Raw genomic sequence first — 21,923 nt, 5'->3', positions numbered from 1 at the left:
ACAGGGTGGGGAACATCACACACCAGGGCCTGTTGTGCGGTGGAGGGAGTGGGGAGGGATAGCATTAGGAGATATACCCAATGTAAATGATGAGTTAATGGGTGTAGCACACCAGCATGGCACATGTATACATATGTAACAAATCTTCACATTGTGCACATGTACCCTACAACTTAAAGTATAATAAAAAAGAAAGAAAGAAAGAAACTGTGCAGGCAGGACAGGCATAATGGCTCATACCTGTAATCCCAGAATTTTGGGAGGCTGAGGCGGGCAGCTCACTTGAGGTCAGGAGTTCAAGACCAGCCTGGCTGACATGGCGAAACCCCGTCTCTACTAAAAATACAAGAATTACCCAGGCTTGGTGGCATGCACCTGTATTTCCAGCTAGTTGAGAGGCTGAGGCAGGAGAATTGCTTGAACCCAGGAGGCGGAGGTTGCAGGGAGCCAGGATCATGCCACTGCACTGCAGCCTGGGCAACAGAAACCGCACAGGCAAGTCCTCAGCCATGGATTAAGACCAAAAAGAAAGAAAAAAAAATGCTGAAAGGGCACAAGCTGAGGAGTGGGGAGGAGAGGAGAAGAGGCAGATGGAAGTGAGCCCAGGTGCAGAGAGAGATAGGAGGGAAAGACTGAGTGGCCTCTTGTCCTGCTGCAGCCTTTCCTATGGACAGCCTGGAGCTGTCATCCTCACCATGGTGCCTAGTGTTCCCTCACTGATCTGACTCATAGGTGTTCCTTCACCACCTCTGCCTGCTCAGCCCTGGGGCAGCCCTGGGGAGACCCAAGGAAAGCTGGGTCCACGTGCACCTTTCCTCCTAACCTCCTCTAGCCTCAGTCTCCCCATCTGTAGAAAGGGCACATGAATCCCTACCTCTCCAGAGGATCAGACGCAACAATGTACCCACGGGCACCAAGGAGAAGCCCTGGACACACACCCGTTTCCTTCCTTTCCTCCTTCATAAGTCAGGAAAGAGTACAGAATACAAGCCACAAAGGGAGCCTGCCCTTAAGCAAGACTGCCAAAGAATTGCTTTGTCCATGCATTCATTCATTCATTCATTCATTCATTCATTCAACAGATACTTCCTGAGCATCTACTGTGTGCCAGGAAGAGCATTGAGGCTTTCCTTTCCTAAAGGCATTCTCTTTTCTTTCTTTTCTTTTTTTTTTTTTTGAGACAGAATCCCACTCTGTTGGCCAGACTGGAGTGCAGCGGTGCAATCTTGACTCACTGCAACCTCCGCTTCCTGGGTTCAAGAGATTCTTGTGCCCCACCACTCGAGTAGCTAGGATTACAGGCATGCATTGCCATGCTTGGCTAATTTTTGTAGCTGGGACTACAGGCACCTGCCACCATGCCGGGCTAATTTTTTGTATTTTTAGTAGAGACGGGTTTTCACCAAATTAGCAAGCATGGACTCAATCTCCTGACTTCGTGATCCCCCCACCTCGGCCTCCCAAAGTGCTGAGATTACAGGCATGAGCCACCACCGCACCCGGTCTTTTTTTTTTTTTTTTTTTTTCTTTGAGATAGAGTTTTGTTCTTGTTGCCCAGGCTGGAATGCAATGGCGTGATCTCGGCTCACTTCAACCTCCACCTCCCGGGTTCAAGCAATTCTGACTCAGCCTCCCAAGTAGCTGGGATTATAGGCATGCGCCACCACACCCAGCTAATTTTTGTATTTTTAGTAGAGATGGGGTTTTACCATGTTGGCCAGGCTGGTCTTGAACTCCTGACCTCATGTGATCCACCTGTCTTGGCCTCCCAAAGTGCTAGGATTACAGGAGTGAGCCACTGTGCCTGGCCTATGTCTTTCTTTCTTTCTTTCTGTTTTTAATTTATATTTGTTTGAGCCCCTCCTTTGACATCTGTTTGTTTTTGTTGTATTGGTTTTTTTTTTTAGAGATAGGGTCTCATTCTGTCACCCAGGGTGGAGTGCAGTGGTGTGATCACAGCTCACTGCAACCTCCAATTCCTGGCCTCAAGTGATCCTCCTGCCTTAGCCTCCTGAGTAGCTGGGATGCAGGTGTGTGCTGCCACACCCAACTAATTTTTTTTAAATTTTAATATTTTCTTTTAGAGATAGAGTCTGGCTGTTTCACTCACGCTCCAGTGCAGTGGCAGGAGCATAGCTCGCTGCAACCTCAAATTCCTATGCTTAAGCAATCCTCCTGCCTCAGCCTCTTGAGTTGTTGAGGCACCTGTCATCACAACCAGCTGATTTCTTTTTTTATTATTACATTTTGTAGAGATGGGGTCTTGCTTTGTTGCCCAGGCTGGTCCTGAACTACTGGTTTCAAGTGATCCTCCCACCTCGGCCTCCCAAAGTGCTGGGATTACAGGCATGAGCCACTGCACCCGGCCTATTCAATAAACATGTATTCAGTCTGTACCTACTGTTCTAGGGACTGTGGACAGAGCACTGAGCAAGATAGGAAAAAACCAGCATGCACTCTGGGTGAGTGTCAGCAGAGCCGGTCTCAGGGGGCATGAGCCATGCAATTACACACTCGGTTTCATGCTGTACGGTGGCCATTTTGAAATCCTTAATAATTTTTCAACAAGAGCCCTCAAGTTTCATTTTGGAACGGGCCCTGCAAATTATGTAGCCGGTCCTGTGTGTCAGGCCAAACTAGCAGATAAGGAAATGAGGCACAGAGAGGGAAATAACTCCACCAAGGTTCACACAGGATGCAAGCCACACAGCTGGGATTGAAACCCAGGTTAGACTGGGTGCACTGGCTCATGCCTGTAATCCCAGTACTTTGGGAGGCCAAGGTGGATGGATCATCTAAAGTCAGGAGTTCAAGACCAGCCTGACCAACACGGTAAAACTCCATCTCTACTAAAAATACAAAAATTAGCTGGGTGTGGTGTCTCACGCCTGTAATCCCAGCATTTTGGGAGGCCGAGGCGGGTGGATCACGAGGTCAGGAGATTGAGACCATCCTGGCTAACACGGTGAAACCCCGTCTCTACTAAAAATACAAAAAATTAGCCGGGCGAGGTGGCAGGCGCCTGTAGTCCAAGCTCCAAGCTACTTGGGAGGCTGAGGCAGGAGAATCGCTTGAACCTGGAAGGCAGAGGTTGCAGTAAGCCAAGATCGTGCTGCTGCACTCCAGCCTGGGCAACAGAGTGAGACTCCAAAAAAAAAAGGAAAGAAAGAGAGAGAGAAAGAAAGAGAAAGAAAGAAGAGATGAAAGAAAGAAAGAAAGAAAGAAAGAGAAAGAAAGAAGAGATGAAAGAAAGAAAGAAAGAAAGGAGAAAGAAAGAAAAGAGAAAGAAAGAAAGAGGAGGGGAGGGGAGGGAGAGGGGAAGGGAAAGGGAGGGGGAGGGGAAGGGGGAGGGGAGGGAGAGGGGAAGGGGGAGTGGAGGGCGAGGGAAAGGGGAGGGGAAGGAGAGGGGAAGGGGAGGGGAAGGAGAGGGGAAGGGGAGGGGAAGGAGAGGAGAAGGGGAGGGGAAGGAGAGGAGAAGGGGAGGGGAAGGAGAGGAGAAGGGGAGGGGAAGGAGAGGAGAAGGGGAGGGGAAGGAGAGGGGAAGGGGAGGGGAAGGAGAGGAGAAGGGGAGGGGAAGGAGAGGAGAAGGGGAGGGGAAGGAGAGGGGAAGGGGAGGGGAAGGAGAGGGGAAGGGGAGGGGAAGGGGAGGGGAAGGGGAGGGGAAGGGAAGGGGAAGGGAAGGGGAAGGGAAGGGACCCAGGCTAACAGACTCCAGATACCAGCAGCAGCCCTTGAGCCATGTTGCCTAATTGTCCCCAAGGAGAAAACTTCCCAGGTCTTCGGAGGCAGCAAAAGCTTTCCTGGCACAGAGCTAGAAAAGAAGATTCTCATGGTGTCTCATGTGGCAGGAACTACAGGAGCTGGGGTGGGTAATCCATTTAGGCCACTTGACAAACACCTATTTTTAGGTCAACTCTGAGAATAGAAAGATGAAAAAGGAGTGGCCTCTGCCATCCTGGAGCTAAGCAACTGGTATAAGGGAAGTGACAGCCCCCATGGAATCGGACCATTTCAACTTCATGCGATGAATGACAGGTCAGGGCTTCTGGGCATGACCATAGGAATGACCACAGCTAACATTGACCATGGGCCTAATTTGTGTGCTGTTTGCTTTTTTTTTTTTGAGACAGAGTCTCACTCAAGTCACCAGGCTGGATGGAGTGCAGTGGTGCAATCTCAGCTCACTGCAACCTCCGCCTCCCAGGTTCAAGCGATTCTCCTGCCTCAGCCTCCCGAGTAGCTGGGATTACAGGCGCGCACCACCACGCCCAGCTAATTTTTGTATTTTTAGTAGAGACGGGGTTTCACCATGTTGGCCAGGATGGTCTCAATCTCTTGACCTCGTGATCCACCCACCTCACCCTCCCAAAGTGCTGAGATTACAGGCCTGAGCCACTGCGCCCAGCCATGCTGTGTGCTTTTTAGCATTTTCTTCAGTTTTTGTTGCAACCTATGAGTCAGGAACTCTTATTATGCTATTTTACCTAGGAGGAAAAGAGCATTCACAGAGATTAAACAGTGTGTTCAGGCCGGGTGTGGTGGTAATCACATCCATGACCGTAATCCCAGCACTTTGGGAGGCCAAAGCGGGAGGATTGCTTGAGTCCAGGAATTCAAGACCAGCCTGGGCAACTTAGTAAAACCTCCATCTCTTTTGTAAAAAAATAAATAATAAAATACTTTAGGAGGCCAAGGCAGGCAGATCACTTGAGGTCAGGAGTTCAAGATCAGCCTGGCCAACATGGTGAAACCCCGTCTCTACTATAAATACAAAAATTAGCTGGGTGTGGTGGCATGCGCCTGTAGTCCCAGCTACTCAGGAGGCTGAGGCAGGAGAATTGCTTGAACCTGGGAGGCAGAGGTTGCAGTGAGCTGAGATCACGCCACTGCACTCCAGCCTGGGTGACAGAGCGAGACTCTGTCAAAAAATAATAATAAAAATAATCATAAAATAAGATAAAAATATAAATAAAAAATAAACAACATGCCTAAAACCACGCAGCTAGAAGAAGGCAGTGTCAGAACTCAGCTATGTCTGACATCAGAGACCACGATTTTTTTTTTTTTTTTGAAATGGAGTCTTGCTCTTGTCACCCAGGCTGGAGTGTAATGGGACGATCTCAGCTCACTGCAACCTGCGCCTCCCAGGTTCAAGCAATTCTCCTGCCTCAGCCTCCCAAGTAGCTGGGATTACAGGCGCCCGCCACCACACCTGGCTAATTTTTGTATTTTTAGTAGAGACAAGGTTTCACCATGTTGGCCAGGCTGGTCTCGAACTCCTGACCTCATGATCTGTCCACCTCAGCCTCCCAAAGTGCTGAGATTACAGGCATGAGCCACCACGCCCCCCGGCCTTTTTTTGTTTTTGTTTGTTTGTTTGTTTTTTGTGGTTTTTTTTTTCTTTTGAGGTGGAGTCTCCCTCTGTTGCCCAGGCTGGAGTGCAGTGGCGCGATCTCGGCTCACTGCAAGCTCCATCTCCTGGGTTCACGCCATTCTCCTGCCTCAGCCTCCAGAGTAGCTGGAACTACAGGCACCCACCACCATGCCCAGCTAATTTTTTGTATTTTTTAGTAGAGACGGGGTTTCACCGTGTTAGCCAGGATGGTCTCGATCTCCTGACCTTGTGATCTGCTCGCCTAGGCCTCCCAAAGTGCTGGGATTACAGGCGTGAGCTACAGCGCCCGGCCTTTTTTTTTTTTGAGACAGTCTCTGTCGCCCAGGCTGTAGTGTAGTGGTACAATCTCCACTCACTGCAACCTCCGCCACCTAGGTTCAAGTGATCAAGTGATTTTCCTGCCTCAGCCTCCCAAGTAGCTGGGATTACAAGCATACACCACCACACCCAGCTAATTTTTGTATTTTTAGTAGAGGGGTTTTGCCATATTGGCCAGTCTGGTCTTGAACTCCTGGCTTCAAAGTGATCCGCCAGCTTGGCCTCCCAAAGTGCTGAGATTACAGGCATGAGCCACCATACCTGGCCAGAGACCATGATCTTAACGAGCATATGGCCCTGCCCCAAAGAACTGTGGACATACAGATGAGAGGCAGGTACCCCACACTGCTGGGAAAAATCACAGAAAGCTTCCCGGAGGAGGTGATGACAGAGGTGAAATAAATATGGATCTGTCAGCCTGTACAAGGGTCAGAGGCCATGAGAGAGTATGGAAGAGGGAGAGAGATCTTTCACTGGAGGGTAAAGTACTAGGCTGGGAATGGTGGCAGATGGGACCAGAGATATAAGCAAAGACCACACCACAGTGAGCCTTGAATGCCAAGTACATCAGTTATGGGTCTTAGCTGCAAGCAACAGAATCCATTCTGGTCAGTCTACATAGCAAAGAAATGAATGAATGAATTTATTTATTTATTGAGATGAATTCTTGCTCTATCGCCCAGGCTGGAGTGCAGTGGCACGATCTTGGCTCACCGCAACCTCTGCCTCCAGGGTACAAGCCATTCTCCCGCCTCAGCCTCCCGAGTAGCTGAAATTACAGGCATGTGCCACCATATCCAGCTAATTTTTGTATTTTTAGTAGAGATGGGGTTTCACCATATTGGCCAGGCTGGTCTCGAACTCCTGACCTCAAGTGATCCACCCCCCCTTGGCCTCCCAAAGTGCTGGGATTACAGGTGTGAGCCACCTCACCTGGCCAGAAATTTATTTTTAATATGTCAAGTAAACTGACCAGGTGTGGTGGCTCACAACCGTCATCCCAGCTCTTTGGGAAGCCAAGGCAGGAGGATCACTTGAGGCCAGGAGTTTGAGACCAGCCTGGGCAACATAGCAAGACTCCATTTCTACCACACACACACACACACACACACACACACACAGACAAAATTAGCCGGCGTGAGGCTTGAATGCCAACTGCATCAGTTATGGGTCTTAGTTGCAATCAACAGAATCCATTCTGGTCAGTTTACATAGCAGAGAATTTATTTTTAAAACATCAAGTAAACTGGCCAAGTGTGATGGCTCCTACCAGTAATCCCAGCACTTTGGGAGTCTGAGGCGGGCAGATCACCTGAGGTCAGATCACCTGCGGTCAGGAGTTCAAGACCAGCCTAGCCAACATGGTGAAACCCTGTCTGTATTAAAAATATGGGAGGCTGAGGAGGGAGGATCACTTGAGCCCAGGAGATTGAGGCTGCAGTGAGCTATGATCACACCACTACTCTCCAGCCTGAGTGACAGAGTGAGACTGTCTCAAAGAAAATTAATTTTTTTTTGTACACTATCACAGCCAAGAAGAGCCCAAGAAGACATTACTACTAACTGTCACATGGTGTCACGGATGGGATCTTCAGACAGAAAAAGGAAATTGGGCCAGGCGCGGTGGCTCACGCCTATAATCCCATCACTTTGGGAGGCTGAGGTGGGTGGATCACCTGAGGTCGGGAGTTCAAGACCAGCCTGACCAACATGGAGAAAACCCCGTCTCTACTAAAAATACAAAATTGGCCAGGGTGGTGGCGCATGCCTGTAATCCCAGCTGCTCGGGAGGCTGAGGCAGGAGAATCACTTGAACCCGGGAGACGGAAGTTGCGGTGAGCCAAGATCGCGCCATTGCACTCCAGCCTGGGCAACAAGAGTGAAACTCCGTCTCAAAAAAAAAAAAGAAAGAAAGAAAAAAAAAAGAAAAGAAAAAGGAAATTGGTAAAAATTAAGGAGATCTAACTAAAGTATGGACTTAAGTTAATTACAATGTATTAATTTCAGTTCATTAACGGTAACAAATATACTATACCAGTGCAAGATGTTAATAAAAGGGGGAAATGGTACAGGATATATGCGAATCCTACTGTCTTAACAATTTTTCTGTAAATTTAAAACCATTGTAAGATGAAGAGTCTATTTTTAGAGTACTGAGTAAATTGTATGGAACTAAACACACACGCACAATTACATGTAAAACTGGTAGAACCTGGATAAGTTCAGTGGATGGTATCAAAGGCAATTTCCTGGTTGTGAGATTGTACTACAGTTTTGCAAGCTGTTACCATTGGGGGAAATTGCATGAAGGGCACGAGGGCTCTCTGGGTATTAATGTCTTACAATTGCAAGTGAATCTACAATTATCTTAAGATAACAAGCCTAATTTTATTTATTTATTTTATAGAGACAGGCTTTCACTGTATTGGCCAAACTTGTCTCAAACTCCTGGCCTCGAGCGATCCTCCCACCTTGGCCTCCCAAAGTGCGGAGATTACAGACATGAGCTATATAGTACCCGGCCAAAAAGCTTAATTTTAAAACATTGAACAGAGAACAGGATCTTTTGGAAAGCTGCAGAAATAAAGTCTAGGCTTAAAGTTATAGGACCCTTACCCAGCACCATGGGGCAGAACTGTCCTGATAAGAAAATGAAGCTGTGGGCCAGGCACAGTGGCTGATGCCTGTAATCCCAGCACTTTGGGAGGCTGAGGTGGGTGGATCACTTAAGGTCAGGAGTTCGAGACCAGCCTAGCCAACATGGTGAACCCCCATCTCCGCTATACAAAAATTAGCCGGGTGTGGTGGTGGGCGCCTGTAGTCCCAGCTACTTGGGAGTCTAAGGCATGAAAATCACTTGAATCTAGGAGGCGGAGATTGCAGTGAGCTGAGATCACACCACTGAACTCCAGCCTGGGCAACAGAGCAAGACTCTGTCTCAAAAAAAAAGAGAGAGAGGGAGGGAGGGAAGGAGAGAGGGAGGGAGGGAGGGAGGAAGGAAGGAAGGAAGGAAGGAAGGAAGGAAGGAAGGAAGGAAGGAAGGAAGGAAGGAAAGAAGGAAGGAAGAAAATGAAGCTGTGGCAGCTTCCACAGCCACACCTTCTCCAGGACTTCACCTTTCTAAATGTCAAGTTGTATTTTCCCAAAATGGCTACAAAAGTAACTTCATCCAACATGCTCTTCTGCAAAGTAACTTTGTCCTCCTCCATCAAGAAGCAGGGTCTATGACCCTGTCTTAGTCTGTTTTTGTTGCTATAAAGGAATACCTGAGGCTGGGTGATTTATAAAGGAAAGAGGTGTATTTGGCTCGTGGTTCTGCAGGCTGTACAAGAAGCATGGTGCCAGCATCTGCTGCTAGTGAGGACCGCAGGAAGCTTCCTATCATAGTGGAAGATGAAGGGGGGCCGACAAGATCACGTGGTGAGCAACAGACATGCCAGGTTCTTTCAAAGATCCAGCTCTTTGAAAGAATGAGTGAATAGAGCAAGAATTCACTCATTACCACAGGGAGGGCACCAAGCCATTCATGAGGCATCTGCCCCCATGACCCAAACACCTCCCACTTGGCCTCATCTCCAATACTGGGGATCACATTTCAACACGAGATTTAGAGGGGACAAATATTCAGACTATATCAGCCCCCTCCCCTAACTCAAGCTGGGGTTGTACCTGTTTCAACCCAGAGAATACCATGCAGGTGACATCCCTATGATTTCTTTTTTTGTGTGTTGTTTTGAGATGGAGTCTTGCTCCGTTGCCCAGGCTGGAGTGCAGGGGCGCAACCTCGGCTCACTGCAACCTCTGCCTCCTGGGTTCAAGCAATTCTCATGCTTCAGCTCCCGAGTAGCTGAGACTGTAGACATGCACCACCACGCCTGGCTAATTTTTGTATTTTCAGTAGAGACAGAGTTTCACCATCTTGACCAGGCTGGTGTCAAACTCCTGGCCTCAAGTGATCTGCCCACCTCAGCCTCGCAAAGTGCTGGGATTATAGGCACGCACCACCACACCCAGCTAATTTTTGTATTTTTAGTAGAGACGGAGTTTCACCATGTTGGCCAGGCTGGTGTCAAACTCCTGGTCTCAAATGATCCACCCACCTCAGCCTCTCAAAGTGGTGGGATTACAGGCTTGAGCCACCGCGTCCAGCAGCCACCGCACCCAGCTTGATTTCTGAGGTTAGGTCATAAAAGGCCATGTGGCTTCCAGCTGACTTTCTTGGCACATTTGCTCTCCAGACTCTCCCTGCGATATCCTCTCTGGGAATCCAGCTGCCAAGCTGTGAGAAGCCCTAGCCCCATGGAGAGAGGCACCCGTCAACCAGGCTTCAGACACAGAGTAAAGAAGCTTCCAGGCGACCCCAGCCCCCAGGCATCCAAATCACCGCCAGCATTCAGGTCTTTCCAAGTAAAGGCCAGATACCACAGAGCAAAGACAAACTGTTCTCACAGGCCCTGTCTGAATTAGCAACCTATAGAATTTGTGAGTTCAGGCCAGGCACGGTGGCCCACACCTGTAATTCTAACACTTTGGGAGGCAGACGTGGGAGAATCACTTGAGATCAGGAGTTTGAGACCAGTCTGGGCAACATGATGAAACTCCATCTCTACCAAAAAATACAAATATTAGCCAGGTGTGGTGGTGTGTGCCTGTAGACCCAGCTACTTGTGAGGCTGAGGTGGGAGGATCGTTTGAGGCTGCAGGGAACCGTGATGACGCCACTGCACTCCAGCCTGGGTAAGAGTGAGACCCTGTCTCAAAAAAAAAAAAGAATTCTCCCAGCACTTTGGGAGGCCGAGGCGGGAGGATCACCTGAGATCAGGACTTCCAGACCAGCCTGGCCAACATGGTGAAACCCCGTCTCTACTAAAAATACAAAAAAAAAATTAACTGGGCATTGTGGTGTGCACCTGTAATCCCAGCTACTCGGGAGGCTGAGGCATGAGAATTGCTTGAGGCAGAGGTTGCAGTGACTGAGATTGTGCTACGGCACTCCAGCCTGGGTGATGGAGTGAGGCTTCGTCTCAAAAAAAAAAAAAAAAAGAAGAATTAATGAGTTAATATAATGTCATGTCCTATTTTCCTTCCTTCCTGCTTTTTCTTTCTTCTTTCTTTCTTTCTTTCCTCTTTCTTTCTTTCTTTCTTTCTTTTCTTTCTTTCTTTCTCTTTTTCTTTCTTTCTTTCTTTCTCTTTCTCTCTCTCTTTCATCTTTTCTTTCTTTCGTCTTTCTTTTCTTTCTTTGGCCTTTCATTTCTTTCTTTTGTCTTTCTTTTCTTTCATTCTTTCTTTTTGACAGGGTCTTGCCTGGCTGCCCAGACAACAGTGCAGTGGTGCAATCACAGCTCACTGCAGCCTTGAACTCCTCAGTTCCAGTGATTCTCCTGCCTCGGCCTCCCAAGTAGTTGGGACAACAGACGTGTGCCACCATCCCCAGCTATTTTTTTTAAAAAATGTTTTAAGACAGGATCTTGCTAGTCTCAAACTCCTGGTCTCAAGCAATCCTCCCATCTCAGCCTCCCAAGTTGTTGGGATTACAGGCATGAGCCACCGTGCTTAGAGGCATAAGCCACTGCACCGGGCTATTTTGTCATTTTTCTCCACTAAGTGTGAGCTATGTAGTATACAGTAATTGTTACCAGACAAATCCCTGCTGCCTTCTCTGAAATCCCATCCATGAACCTTGTGCTCACTTCTGAACCTGAGCCATACACAGGTCTGATGTGCCTGCATCTTAGCCACAGGGAGGCTGCAGAAGCTCACCTTGTGAAGACAAGGCTTGTGACATGGGAAATCATCAAAATCTATGCCGGGCGGCCGCCATGCACAGAAGGCCACTAGGTCAGACCAAGTGTGGACTAACGGTAGCCTGTAACAGAAGAGACCTCCCCTCATCGCACCCAGCCCCATCATGATTTGAACCTCTCTAGAACCTGCCATGTTGAATTGGGTGCTGACTTCACTCTGCTATTTTTTTTTTTTTTTTTTTTTTTGAGACAGAGTCTCACTCTGTCGCCCAGGCTGGAGTGCAGTGGCATGATCTCGGCTCACTGCAACCTCTGCCTCCCAGGTTTCAGCAATTCTCCTGGCTCAGCCTCCTGAGTAGCTGGGATTATAGGCGCCCGCCACAACACCAAGTTAATTTTTTTGTATTTTTAGTGGAGATGGGGTTTGGTTTCACCATGTTGGCCAGGCTGGTCTCAAACTCCTGAACTCAAGTGATCCGCCTGCCTCGACCTCCCAAAGTGCTGCCAAAATATTAGCATTTTGACCAGGCACAGTGGTTCACATCTGTAATCCCAGCACTTTGTGAGGCTGAGGCAGGCAGATCACCTGAGGTCAGGAGTTCGAGACAAGCCTGGTCAACATGGTGAAACCCCGTCTCTACCAAAAATACAAAAATTAGCTGGGCATGATGACGCGCGCCTGTAGCTCCAGCTACTCAGGAGCCTGAGGCAGGAGAATCGCTTGAACCCGGGAGGCAGAGGTTGCAATGAGCCAAGATGGTGCTGCTGCACTCCAGCCTGGGCGAGGGAGCAAGACTCCATCTCAAAAAAAAAAAAAAAAAAAGTTGGTGCGGGGGCTCACGCCTGTAATCCCAGCACTTTGGAGGCCGAGGCGGGCAGATCACTTGAGGTCAGGGGTTCCAGACTAGCCTGGCCAACACAGTGAAACCCTGTCTCTGCTGTAAAAAAAAATTAGCTGGGCGTGGTAGTGCATGCCTGTAATCTCAGCTACTCAGGAGGCTGAGGCAGGAGAATCACTTGAACACAGGAGGCAGAGGTGGCAGTGAGCCAAGATTGCACCACTGTACTCCAGCCTGGGTGACAGAGTGAGACTCCATCTCAGAAAAAAAAAAAAAAGTGTTTCAACATATAATCAATATTTTTAAATTATTAATAAAATACTTTGAAGTTTTTTCATAATAATCTTTGCAATCCAGGGTTCATTTTACACATGATAGCACATCTCAGTTTGGATGCTTAATTTTCATTCACAATACTCGATCTGTATTTAGAGTTCATAGATTTACATAAGTAAATTGTTTCAAAGTCCTGTGACCAATTTGTCTTCCTGGAGAATGTCCTGGTTTCAAAAATGAAAGTCTTACATCTTGAAATTCTCCTTGGTCCCAGGAAAATCAGGGCAGTTGGTCAACCTCTTCCAAACATACTTGGAGATTTTTCTTTTTTTTTTTTTTTTTTTCTTTGAGACATAGTCTCACTCACTCTGTCACCCAGGCTGGAGTGCAGTGGCGCCATCTTGGCTCACTGCAACCGCCATCTCTCAGGTTGAGGTGATTCTCCTGCCTCAGCCTCCCTAGTAGCTGGGATTACAGGCACATGCGACCATTCCCAGCTAATTTTTTTGTAATTTTAGTAGAGACGGGATCTCACCATATTGACCAGGTTAGTCTCGAACTCTTGACCTCAAGTGATCTGCCCAACTCAAGCCCCTCAACATGCTGGGATGACAGGCGTGAGCCACTGCACCCAGCTGGGTTTTGTTTTTTGGTTTGTACTGTGTTTGTTTTGTTTTTTTGAGATGGAATCTCACTCTATTGCCCAGGCTGGAGTCAGTGGTGCAATCTCAGCTCACTGTAACCTCCGCCTCCCAGGTTCAAGCGATTCTCCTGCCTCAGCCTCCCGAGTAGCTGAGATTACAGTCACTCACCACCATGCCCTGCTAACTTTTGTATTTTTAGTAGAGGCAGGGTTTCACCACATGGACCAGGCTGGTCTCAAATTTCTGACATCAGGCGATCCACCTGCCTCAGCCTCCCGAAGTGCTGGGATTACAGGCATAAGCCACCATACCTGGCCTGTTTTTTGTTTGTTTGTTTGTTTGTTTTTTGAGACAGAGTCTAGTTGCCCAGGCTGGAGTGCAATGGCGTGATCTTGGCTCACTGCCACCTCCGCTTCCCCGGTTCAAGCGATTCTCCTGCCTCAGCCCCTCAAGTAGCTGGGATTACAGGTGCATGCCACCATACCCAACTAATTTTTTTTTTGTATTTTTAGTAGAGATGGGGTTTTCACCATGTTGGCCTAGCTGGTCTCAAACTCCTGACCTCAAGTGATCTGCCTGTCTTGGCCTCCCAAAGTGCTGGGATTACAGGCATGAGCCATCATGCCTGGCCAGCAAGCAAGACATAGGGTTTATTGAGGGGACTTACAGGGTAGTCCAGACATGGCAGGTGGAACAGGAGAACCACACCTGCTTATAAAAAGCATGCAGTTGGGCCCAGCACGGTGGCTCATGCCTGTAATCCCAGCACTCTGGGAGGCCAAGGCGGGTGGATCACAAGGTCAGGAGATCGAGATCATCCCGGCTAACACAGTGAAACCCCGTCTCTACTAAAAATACAAAAAATTAGCTGGGCGTGGTGGCGGGCACCTGTAGTCCCAGCTACTCAGGAGGCTGAGGCAGGAGAATGGCATGAACCTGGGAGGCGGAGCTTGCAGTGAGCCGAGATGGCGCCACTGCACTCCAGCCTGGGTGACAAAGCAAGACTCCATCTCACACACAAAAAAAAAGCATGCAGTTTATAGAGCATTTCCACTTAGCACCCTCCCCCTAGCACCCTCCCTCTGGCAACCTTCATTTAACCCCAAACAAAGGCCACCATCCCCTAGATGGTCCAGGGGTTCAGATGTTCCTCATAGATAAGAAATGAATCTCCGGGTTGGCCACTCCTGGATTCCTTAGCTTAGAACTTTCAACACATACTCTTCTTAGACCATGGGGTCATTTTCAAGGTATGCTGATGTTACTGTTGCCAGATGTGTTTGCCATGCATCATAGCTAACCACTAGGAAGTTCTATAAGTGAGGGAGGGCCTTAAGAACATACTCTGAGCTGGAAGTGTCAAGTTGGAGGCCCTTGACATTAGAAGCCAGAGACTGGGTACACCCACATAGTGAGAGAAGGTGAGGGCTGCGGGGATGTGTCAGCTATATCCATTGCTACCCAACAAACCATTCCAAGTCTTAATGACGAAAAATAACTTTTTTTTTTTTTTTGTCAGAGGCAGGTTCTCACTCTGTCACCCAGGCTGGAATGCAATGGTGCAAACACGGCTCACTGCAGTCTCAACCTCCTGGGCTCAAGTGATCCTCCCACGTCAGCCTCCGAAGTAGCTGGAACTACAGGCGTGCGTCACCATGCCCAGGTAATTTTTGTATTTTTTTGTAGAGAAGGGGTTTTGCCATGTTGCCCCGCCTGGTCTTGAAGTCCTGACCTCAAGGGCTCCACCCGCCTTGGCCTCCCAAAGTGCTGGGATTACAGGTGTGAGCCACTGTGCCCAGACAACAGCTATTTTTTTTGGGGGGGCGGGGGACAGAGTCTCGCTCTGTCACCCAGGCTGGAGTGCAGTGGCGCAATCTCAGCTCACTGCAAGCTCCACCTCCTGGGTTCATGCCATTCTCCTGCCTCAGCCTCCCAAGTAGCTGGGACTACAGGTGCCCGTCACCATGCCCGGCTAATTTTTTGTATTTTCAGTAGAGACGGGGTTTCACCATGTTAGCCAGGATGGTCTCAATCTCCTAACCTTGTGATTCACCTGCCTTGGCCTCCCAAAGTGCTGGGATTACAGGCGTGAGCCATTGTGCCCAGCCAACAGCTATTTTTTATTCATCGTGTTTCTATTGGTTGGCTGGATAGTTCTGGTTTCACCTGGGCTCATGTGTGTGGCTGCACTCAGTTAGACAGTCAGATGCAAAGTCCAAGATGGTCTCGTTCACATCTTAGCATGCTCTAGTAGTTGGTGCTAGCTGTTGGCAGAGGCCTGACACAGCTGGAACACCTGGACCTCTTCATGTGATCTTTCTTGCAAGCTTCTTTACAGCGTGATGGTCTCAGGGCAGCATTCTTTCCGAGAGGGCAAGTCCCAATGCACAGGACTTAGGGAGCAGATTTGCCAATACCCCATTGGCCAAAGCCGTGAAAATCACATAGCCAGACCTAGAGTCAATCAGTGAAAGACCAGAAAAGGGCAGTGCTAAGGAACCCAAAGAGGAGGGAATTCTACCAGGACGGTGCCCATCCAACACTTGTGTTACCTTGGGAGCCAGTACCTCCTTAAATTCAGGGCCCAAAGTGCCTCAACTTGCTTCACCCCAATTCCAGCCTGAATCCTCAGGACTTGGCAACTCAGAGGTCAATTTCCTTAACACCCCAACATGAATTTCGGAAGTTAGTTTCACAGAAATCTTAAGCACCAAATACAACTGAGCGAAAGCAATTCTGCAAGTCAAAAACAAGGTGGTCTAAATTTGCAAACTTTATGGCAGTCTGGCTTGATGAAATATAAAGCCCACAATGCTTTTAAACAGTTTTGGCCAGGCACAGTGGCTCACGCCTGTAATCCCAGCATTTTGGGAGGCTGAGGCGGGCAGATCACCTGAGGCCAGGAGTTTGAGACCAGCCTTGCCAACATGGTAAAACCCCGTCTCTACTAAAAATACAAAAATTGGCTGGGCGTGGTGGCTCACACCTGTAATCCCAGCACTTTGAGAGGCCAAGGTGGGTGGATCACGAGGTCAAGAGATCAAGACCATCCTGGCCAACATGGTGAAACCTTGCCTCTACTAAAAATACAAAAATCAGCTGGCATGGTGGCACATGCCTCTAGTCCCAACTCCTCGGGAGGCTGAGGCAGAAGAATCACTTGACCCTGGTAGGAGGAGGTTGCAGTGAGCTGAGATCATGATGCTGCACTCCAGTCTGGCTACAGAGTGAGACTCTGTCTCAAAAACAAACAAAAAAATACAAAAATTAGCCGTGGGTGGTGGCGCGCGCCTGTAATCCCAGCTACTCGAGAGGCTGAGGCAGGAGAATTGCTTAAACCCAAGAGGCAGAAGTTGCAGTGAGCTGAGATCATGCCATTGCACTCTACCCTGGGTGACAGAGCAAGACCCTGTCTCAAAAAAAAAAAAAAAAATATATATATATATATTTTTTTTTTTTACCAAGACCCACAGTAAAACATACCTTTATATCAAGTTCTAGTGCACATAGGCAGACACACACAGGCACGCACCCCTTACACACATGGACAAGATTAAAGTGCCCTGGGGTATAGAAAAGATGATAGTAACCTACCCATTTTATATGCAACACTGTGTCATTTTCTAGTCTATTTAAAATTTTTTTTGTGTTTTTTTTTGCCGGGAATTTTTCCATTTTGTTGAAGAGACGATGTCACTCTGTTACTCAGGCTAGAGTCCAGTGGTACAATAATAGTTCACAGCGGCCGGGCACAGTGGTTCACGCCTATAATCCCAGCACTTTGGGAGGCCGAGGCAGGTGGATCAAGAGGTCAGGCGTTCAAGACCAGCCTGGCCAACATAGTGAAACCCCGTCTCTACTAAAATAAAAATAAAAATAATTAGCTGGGCATGGTGGCAGGCACCTGTAATCCCACCTACTTGGGAGGCTGAGGCAGGAGAAATGCTTGAACCTGGGAGGCAGAGGTTGCAGTGAGCCGAGATTGTGCCACTGCACTCCAGCCCGGGGAACAGCGTGAGACTCCATCTCAAAAAAAAAAAAAAAAAAAAGAAAGAAAGAAAAAAAAAAACAATAATAGTTCACTGCAGCTCCGAACTCCTGGGCCCAAGGGATCCTCCCACCTCAGCCTCCTGAGTAACTAGGACTACAGGTGCACGCCACCACATCTAGCTAGTTTCTTATATTTTTATTTTTGTAGAGATGAGCAGTCTTGCTATGTTGCCCAGGCTGGTCTCAAACTCCCGGCCTCAAGAGATCCTCTTGCCTTGGCCTCCCAAAATGCTGAGATTACAGGCATCAGCCACTGTACCCAGCCTGTTTAATTATTTTTTTAAATAATTGCCATGCCCTGCTAAATTGATTTCACCATCCACTACATGGGTCATACACAGTCTGCAGATTGAAAAATGCTACCTTAGGCCATCCAGAGCAGAAGTCAGAAAACTAGCCAAATCTTGCCTTTAGCCTTGTTTTGTTTCACCTGCTTTTTTTTTTTTATTGTTGTTGTTTTGTTTTTTGTGTTTTTTTTTTTTTGAGGCAGAATCTCATTCTGTCGCCCAGGCTGGAGTGCAGTAGTGCAATCTTGGCTCACTGCAACCTCTGCCTCCCAGGTTCAAGTGATTCTCCTACCTCAGCCTCCCAGGTAGCTGGGATTACAGATGCACACCACCATGCCTGGCTAATTTTTGTATTTTCAGTGGAGACGGGGTTTCACCATGCTGGCCAGGCTGGTCTTGAACTCCTGTCCTTGTGATCTGCCTGCTTTGGCTTCCCAAAATGCTGGGATTATAGTTGTGAGCCACTGCACCCTGCCAGTTGTTTTTTTTTTTCTTAAGAAACTGAATTTTATGCCTTCAGGCAGACTTCCCTTCACCTGTACCATTTCCAACATTTTTTTTTTTTTGAGATGGAGGCTCACTCTATCACCCAGGCTGGAGTGCAGTGGCGCGATCTCAGCTTACTGCAGCCTCCACCTCCTGGGTTCAAGCGATTCTCCTGCCTCAGGAGAAGGCACCACCATGCCCAGCTAATTTTTTTGTGTTTTTAGTAGAGACGAGGTTTCACCATGTTTGTCAGGCTGGTCTCAAACTCCTGACCTCAAATGATCTACCCTCCTTGGCCTCCCAAAGTGCTGGGATTACAGGCGTGAGTCACCGCGCCCAGCCACATTTCCAACTATCTGATAGCCAACTGCTTCACACATCTGTGTAATCTGTCTGGCCCCTGAATGCATTTCTGTTTGGGATTTCTGGATCTCTAGATTCTAAAGGCATAGATAGGTGCATTGATGCATTCCACAAATATTGAATGAGTGTCTCTCATAGGCCAGTCACTATTGCTGACAATGGGAACACAGCGGAGAACAGACAAAAATCACTGCCTTTGTGGAGTTGAGATTGTGTAGGGGAGAGACAGATAAGCTTTAAAAAAAAAATGCTGAGGCTGGAGGATCACTTGAGGCTGGGAGTTCGAGACTAGCCTGAACAACATAGTGAGACACCCCTCTCTACAAAAAGTAAAAAAAAAGGCCGGGTGTGGTGGCTCACGCCTGTAATCCCAGCAATTTGGGAGGCCGAGGCGGGCGGATCATGAGGTCAGGAGATCGAGACCATCCTGGCTAACACAGTGAAACCCTGTCTCTATTAAAAATACAAAAAAATTAGCCGGGTGTGGTGGCGGGCACCTGTAGTCCCAGCTACTCGAGAGGCTGAGGCAGGAGAATGGCGTGAACCTCGGAGGGGGAGGTTGCAGTGAGCCGAGATCGTGCCACTGCACTTCAGCCTGGGTGATGGAGCAAGATTCCGACTCAAAAAAAAAAAAAAAAAAAAAAAGGCCAGGCATGGTGGCTTATGCCTGTAATCCCAGCAGTTTGGGAGGCCGAAGTGGGTGGATCACCTGAGGTCAGGAGTTCAAGACCAGCCTAGGCAACATTGCGAAAAATACAAATATTAGCCAGCCGTGGTGGCCAGCACCTGTAATCCCAGCTAGCTGGGAGGCCAAGGCACGAGAATCGCTGAACCAAGGGGGAGGAGGTTGCAGTAAGCCAAGATCGCGCCATGGCACTCTAGCCTGGGCGACAGAGCAAGACTCCATCTCGGGGGGGAAAAAAGAAAGTTAAAAAAAAAAAAAAATTAGCCAGGCATAACTGTAGTCCCAACTGCTGGGGAAGCTGGGGTGGGAGGATCTTTTAAGCCCAGGAGTTCGAGGCTGTAGTGAGCTATGATTGCGCCCCTGCACTCCATCCTGGCCAACAGAGCAAGACCCTGTCTCTAAAAAATAAATAAATAAAAGAAAAAGAGTAAAAGAAAATAAAGTGGGAGGGGGATATGCATGCTCTAAGATCTATCTACCACAGATTACAGGCTTTTCACCCTTTTGTGGAAATGACAAAACCTAGTATGTTCCTACCTAACAGAGGAGGGCTGAGGGAAGGTGAGGGAGCACAACTGCAATTTTCCCCTGAAAGAGAGTTCTCAGCCTGCCCTGGCAGATAGATCTCACCCATCGCGTCCCCAGATTACTCTGCCAAAGGTGGAAGCACCAATCACTTTAACCCAGAACATTTCAAAACCAGACAGCCATGAAGGAGGAACCTCTGTGGTCCGGGCGCGTGGGCCCTGGGGTTGGAAGTGCCTCAGACGCACTTTACATTTTCCCCGAATTCACCCTTCGCAGTCCCCATCACCCCCTCTCCAGTGGGATAAATGGCCACCTCATTAGCTCTGCACACATGACCCTCCCGACCTGACTCCTGGTGACTATGCCTGCCTTATCTCTTTTCTCTCCTCCCTCACATTTTCCGCTGCAACAAAGCCAAACACAGCACCGTGGGGGCTTTCACGCTTCTGTGCCCTAGGACACGCTGTTCCTGCAGCTTGGAAGGCCTCTGTCCTCCATCCGCGCGCCCTCACTCTCTTGCTACGAACTCCCATTCATCCTTCAAAACCCAGCCTGAGTGTCCCCTCCCCCGGGTCACCCCCTTTGACCTGTCAATCCCCTCCCTCCGGGTCCCCAGCAAGCTTTTCGGTTTGGCTTCTCCGCACTCTCATGACCGATTGCCCTACATCTTGGCGCTCCCAGACTCGGGCCTTCTCCAGCACCGGAGTCGTCTGGTTTGCTCGCTTTACACTCCAAGCACCTAGTACCGAGCCTGACTGGGTGCCAGAGGGCGCGCCTAGGCTCAGGCTGGCTCCACCCGCCCCGTGCCTCCCCTCGGCCTTCCCCTTAGTCCTGAGGGTGCCCGCGCTCCTGCATTTCCCGTGCACCGGGCTGCCGGTAGCTCCGGCCGCCCAGCCCCCGCGGCAGCAACAGCAGCAACAGCAGCAGCAGCACCGGGGGAGCCCCCCCAGGCGGACTACAAGTCCCGGCAGGCCGCGCGCGGGCCGCGCATGCGCAGCGGGGACCGGCGTTTGAGTGGCAAGTTGTTTGTTACAGCGAACACCAGCTGCTCCCCGCGCCGGGCGCCGCGCGCCGCTGCTCCGCCGCTCGGCCCCTCGGCTGCTGCTCCGCCGGCGCTGCCTCCCTCGCCCCGCGGCTCCCCCTTGCAACTTGGCGGGCCTCCTCCCTTTTGTCCGGCCCGGCCCGGCCGCCGCCGCCCCCCGCGCCCGGCGCCGAGCTCCCGGGTCTCCGGGCCGGCTGTCGGTGCCGGCAGGGCGCGGAGGGGGCGGGGGCCGCGGCTCGTCCCCCCGCGGATGAGCCGCCGCGGACGGGGCGCGGGCGGACGATGGAACTCCACATCCTGGAGCACCGGCTGCAAGTTGCCAGCGTCGCCAAGGAGAGTATCCCGCTGTTCACCTACGGCCTGATCAAACTTGCCTTCCTGTCCTCCAAGACCAGGTAAGCGCGCGGGGACGCGGCGCCGGCCGGGGACAGACAAAGGGGGCGCACCCCGGGCCGCTGTCCTCGCCGCCGCGCCTCGGAAAACAACTTCGGGCCCCGGGAGCGCCCCCGCCCCGCCCCCGCCGCCGCTTCGCTCGCGTCTGACAAAGCCGGAGCCGCAGGGTCCTGGCTCCCGGACCCCTCGCAACCTTCCACCCCCCGGTGCGCCACCCCCCACCTCTGTCGTCCCCCCCATCTCCCACCCCCTCCCCCATCGCAGCCCCCTCCCCGAAATCCGGGGGGCTGGGGCGGCTGCAGTGACGGATCCGTGAATGGATGAAGGAACGAACGAATGAATGAATGAAAAACAGGTGTGGGGACGAGGCCGTGGAAAAAACAAACGCCCCCATCCCCCCATCCCTCGGTTGGGCCGGCCCCGTCGCCACGGCGGGGGGAGGGATTCCGCTGAGCGCGGTTACCCAGAGCAGAAAATCATAAAATCATTAGTGGGTGTTTATCTCAAGGTGCCTACGAGGCTTGCTGCGGACGGCCTGGAATTGCGGGGGGGAAACGGGGGGTGGGCGAGGGCCAGGGAGGGGCTGCAGAGGACGTGATTCTTTCTCCTTGGGGTCCTGGAAAGGGGGTGGGGGGGTGTTTTGCCCAACCGTAGAAGGGGAGGAGCAGGCATGTTTATGCATCTGCCTTGAGGCTGGGCTTGGATGCTGCAGGGGGAAAAATAGTTGAAGGCCTTGGAAGGTAAAAGAGGGAATCACACACACACACACACACACACACACACACACACACTCTCTCTCTCTCTCTCTCTCTCTCTCTCTCTCTCTCTCTCACTTGGATTTTCCCTATGCCAGGTAAGGGTTTGACATTGTGA

The 21,923-nt window shown here is 50.0% G+C and overlaps 1 protein-coding gene and 1 pseudogene across 3 annotated transcripts in view, besides 1 other annotated feature; one reads left to right on the top strand and one right to left on the bottom strand.

Moving 5' to 3' along the window:
- The window catches only part of SPDYE14 (speedy/RINGO cell cycle regulator family member E14), an 80,225-nt gene extending 59,085 nt beyond the window's left edge, over positions 1-21,140 (bottom strand). Inside the window, exons 1-2 of one of the 2 annotated variants that reach the window (NM_001382494.2) lie at positions 21,032-21,140; positions 241-336 (exon numbers count right to left, since the gene is read on the bottom strand). The gene's annotated coding sequence lies outside the window, so the exon portion shown is untranslated. The remainder of the gene's footprint in view (positions 1-240; positions 337-21,031) is intronic. The other variant, NM_001382495.2, reaches the window with a different exon arrangement.
- Positions 20,565-20,744: a silencer, noted in NCBI's record as "silent region_18293". NCBI's record gives its function as "represses an Ori minimal core promoter by ATAC-STARR-seq in GM12878 lymphoblastoid cells {active_cell/tissue: GM12878}" and the evidence as "EXISTENCE:reporter gene assay evidence [ECO:0000049][PMID:35858748]".
- The window catches only part of GTF2IP1 (general transcription factor IIi pseudogene 1), a 52,323-nt pseudogene continuing 51,039 nt past the window's right edge, over positions 20,640-21,923 (top strand). Inside the window, exon 1 of the transcript NR_002206.3 lies at positions 20,640-21,052. The product of NR_002206.3 is annotated as a general transcription factor IIi pseudogene 1 (transcript). The remainder of the gene's footprint in view (positions 21,053-21,923) is intronic.

Source organism: Homo sapiens, chromosome 7 (assembly GCF_000001405.40).
Source record: "Homo sapiens chromosome 7, GRCh38.p14 Primary Assembly".
Classification (NCBI taxonomy): domain Eukaryota; kingdom Metazoa; phylum Chordata; class Mammalia; order Primates; family Hominidae; genus Homo; species Homo sapiens.
This window is presented reverse-complemented; position numbering and strand designations above follow the sequence as displayed.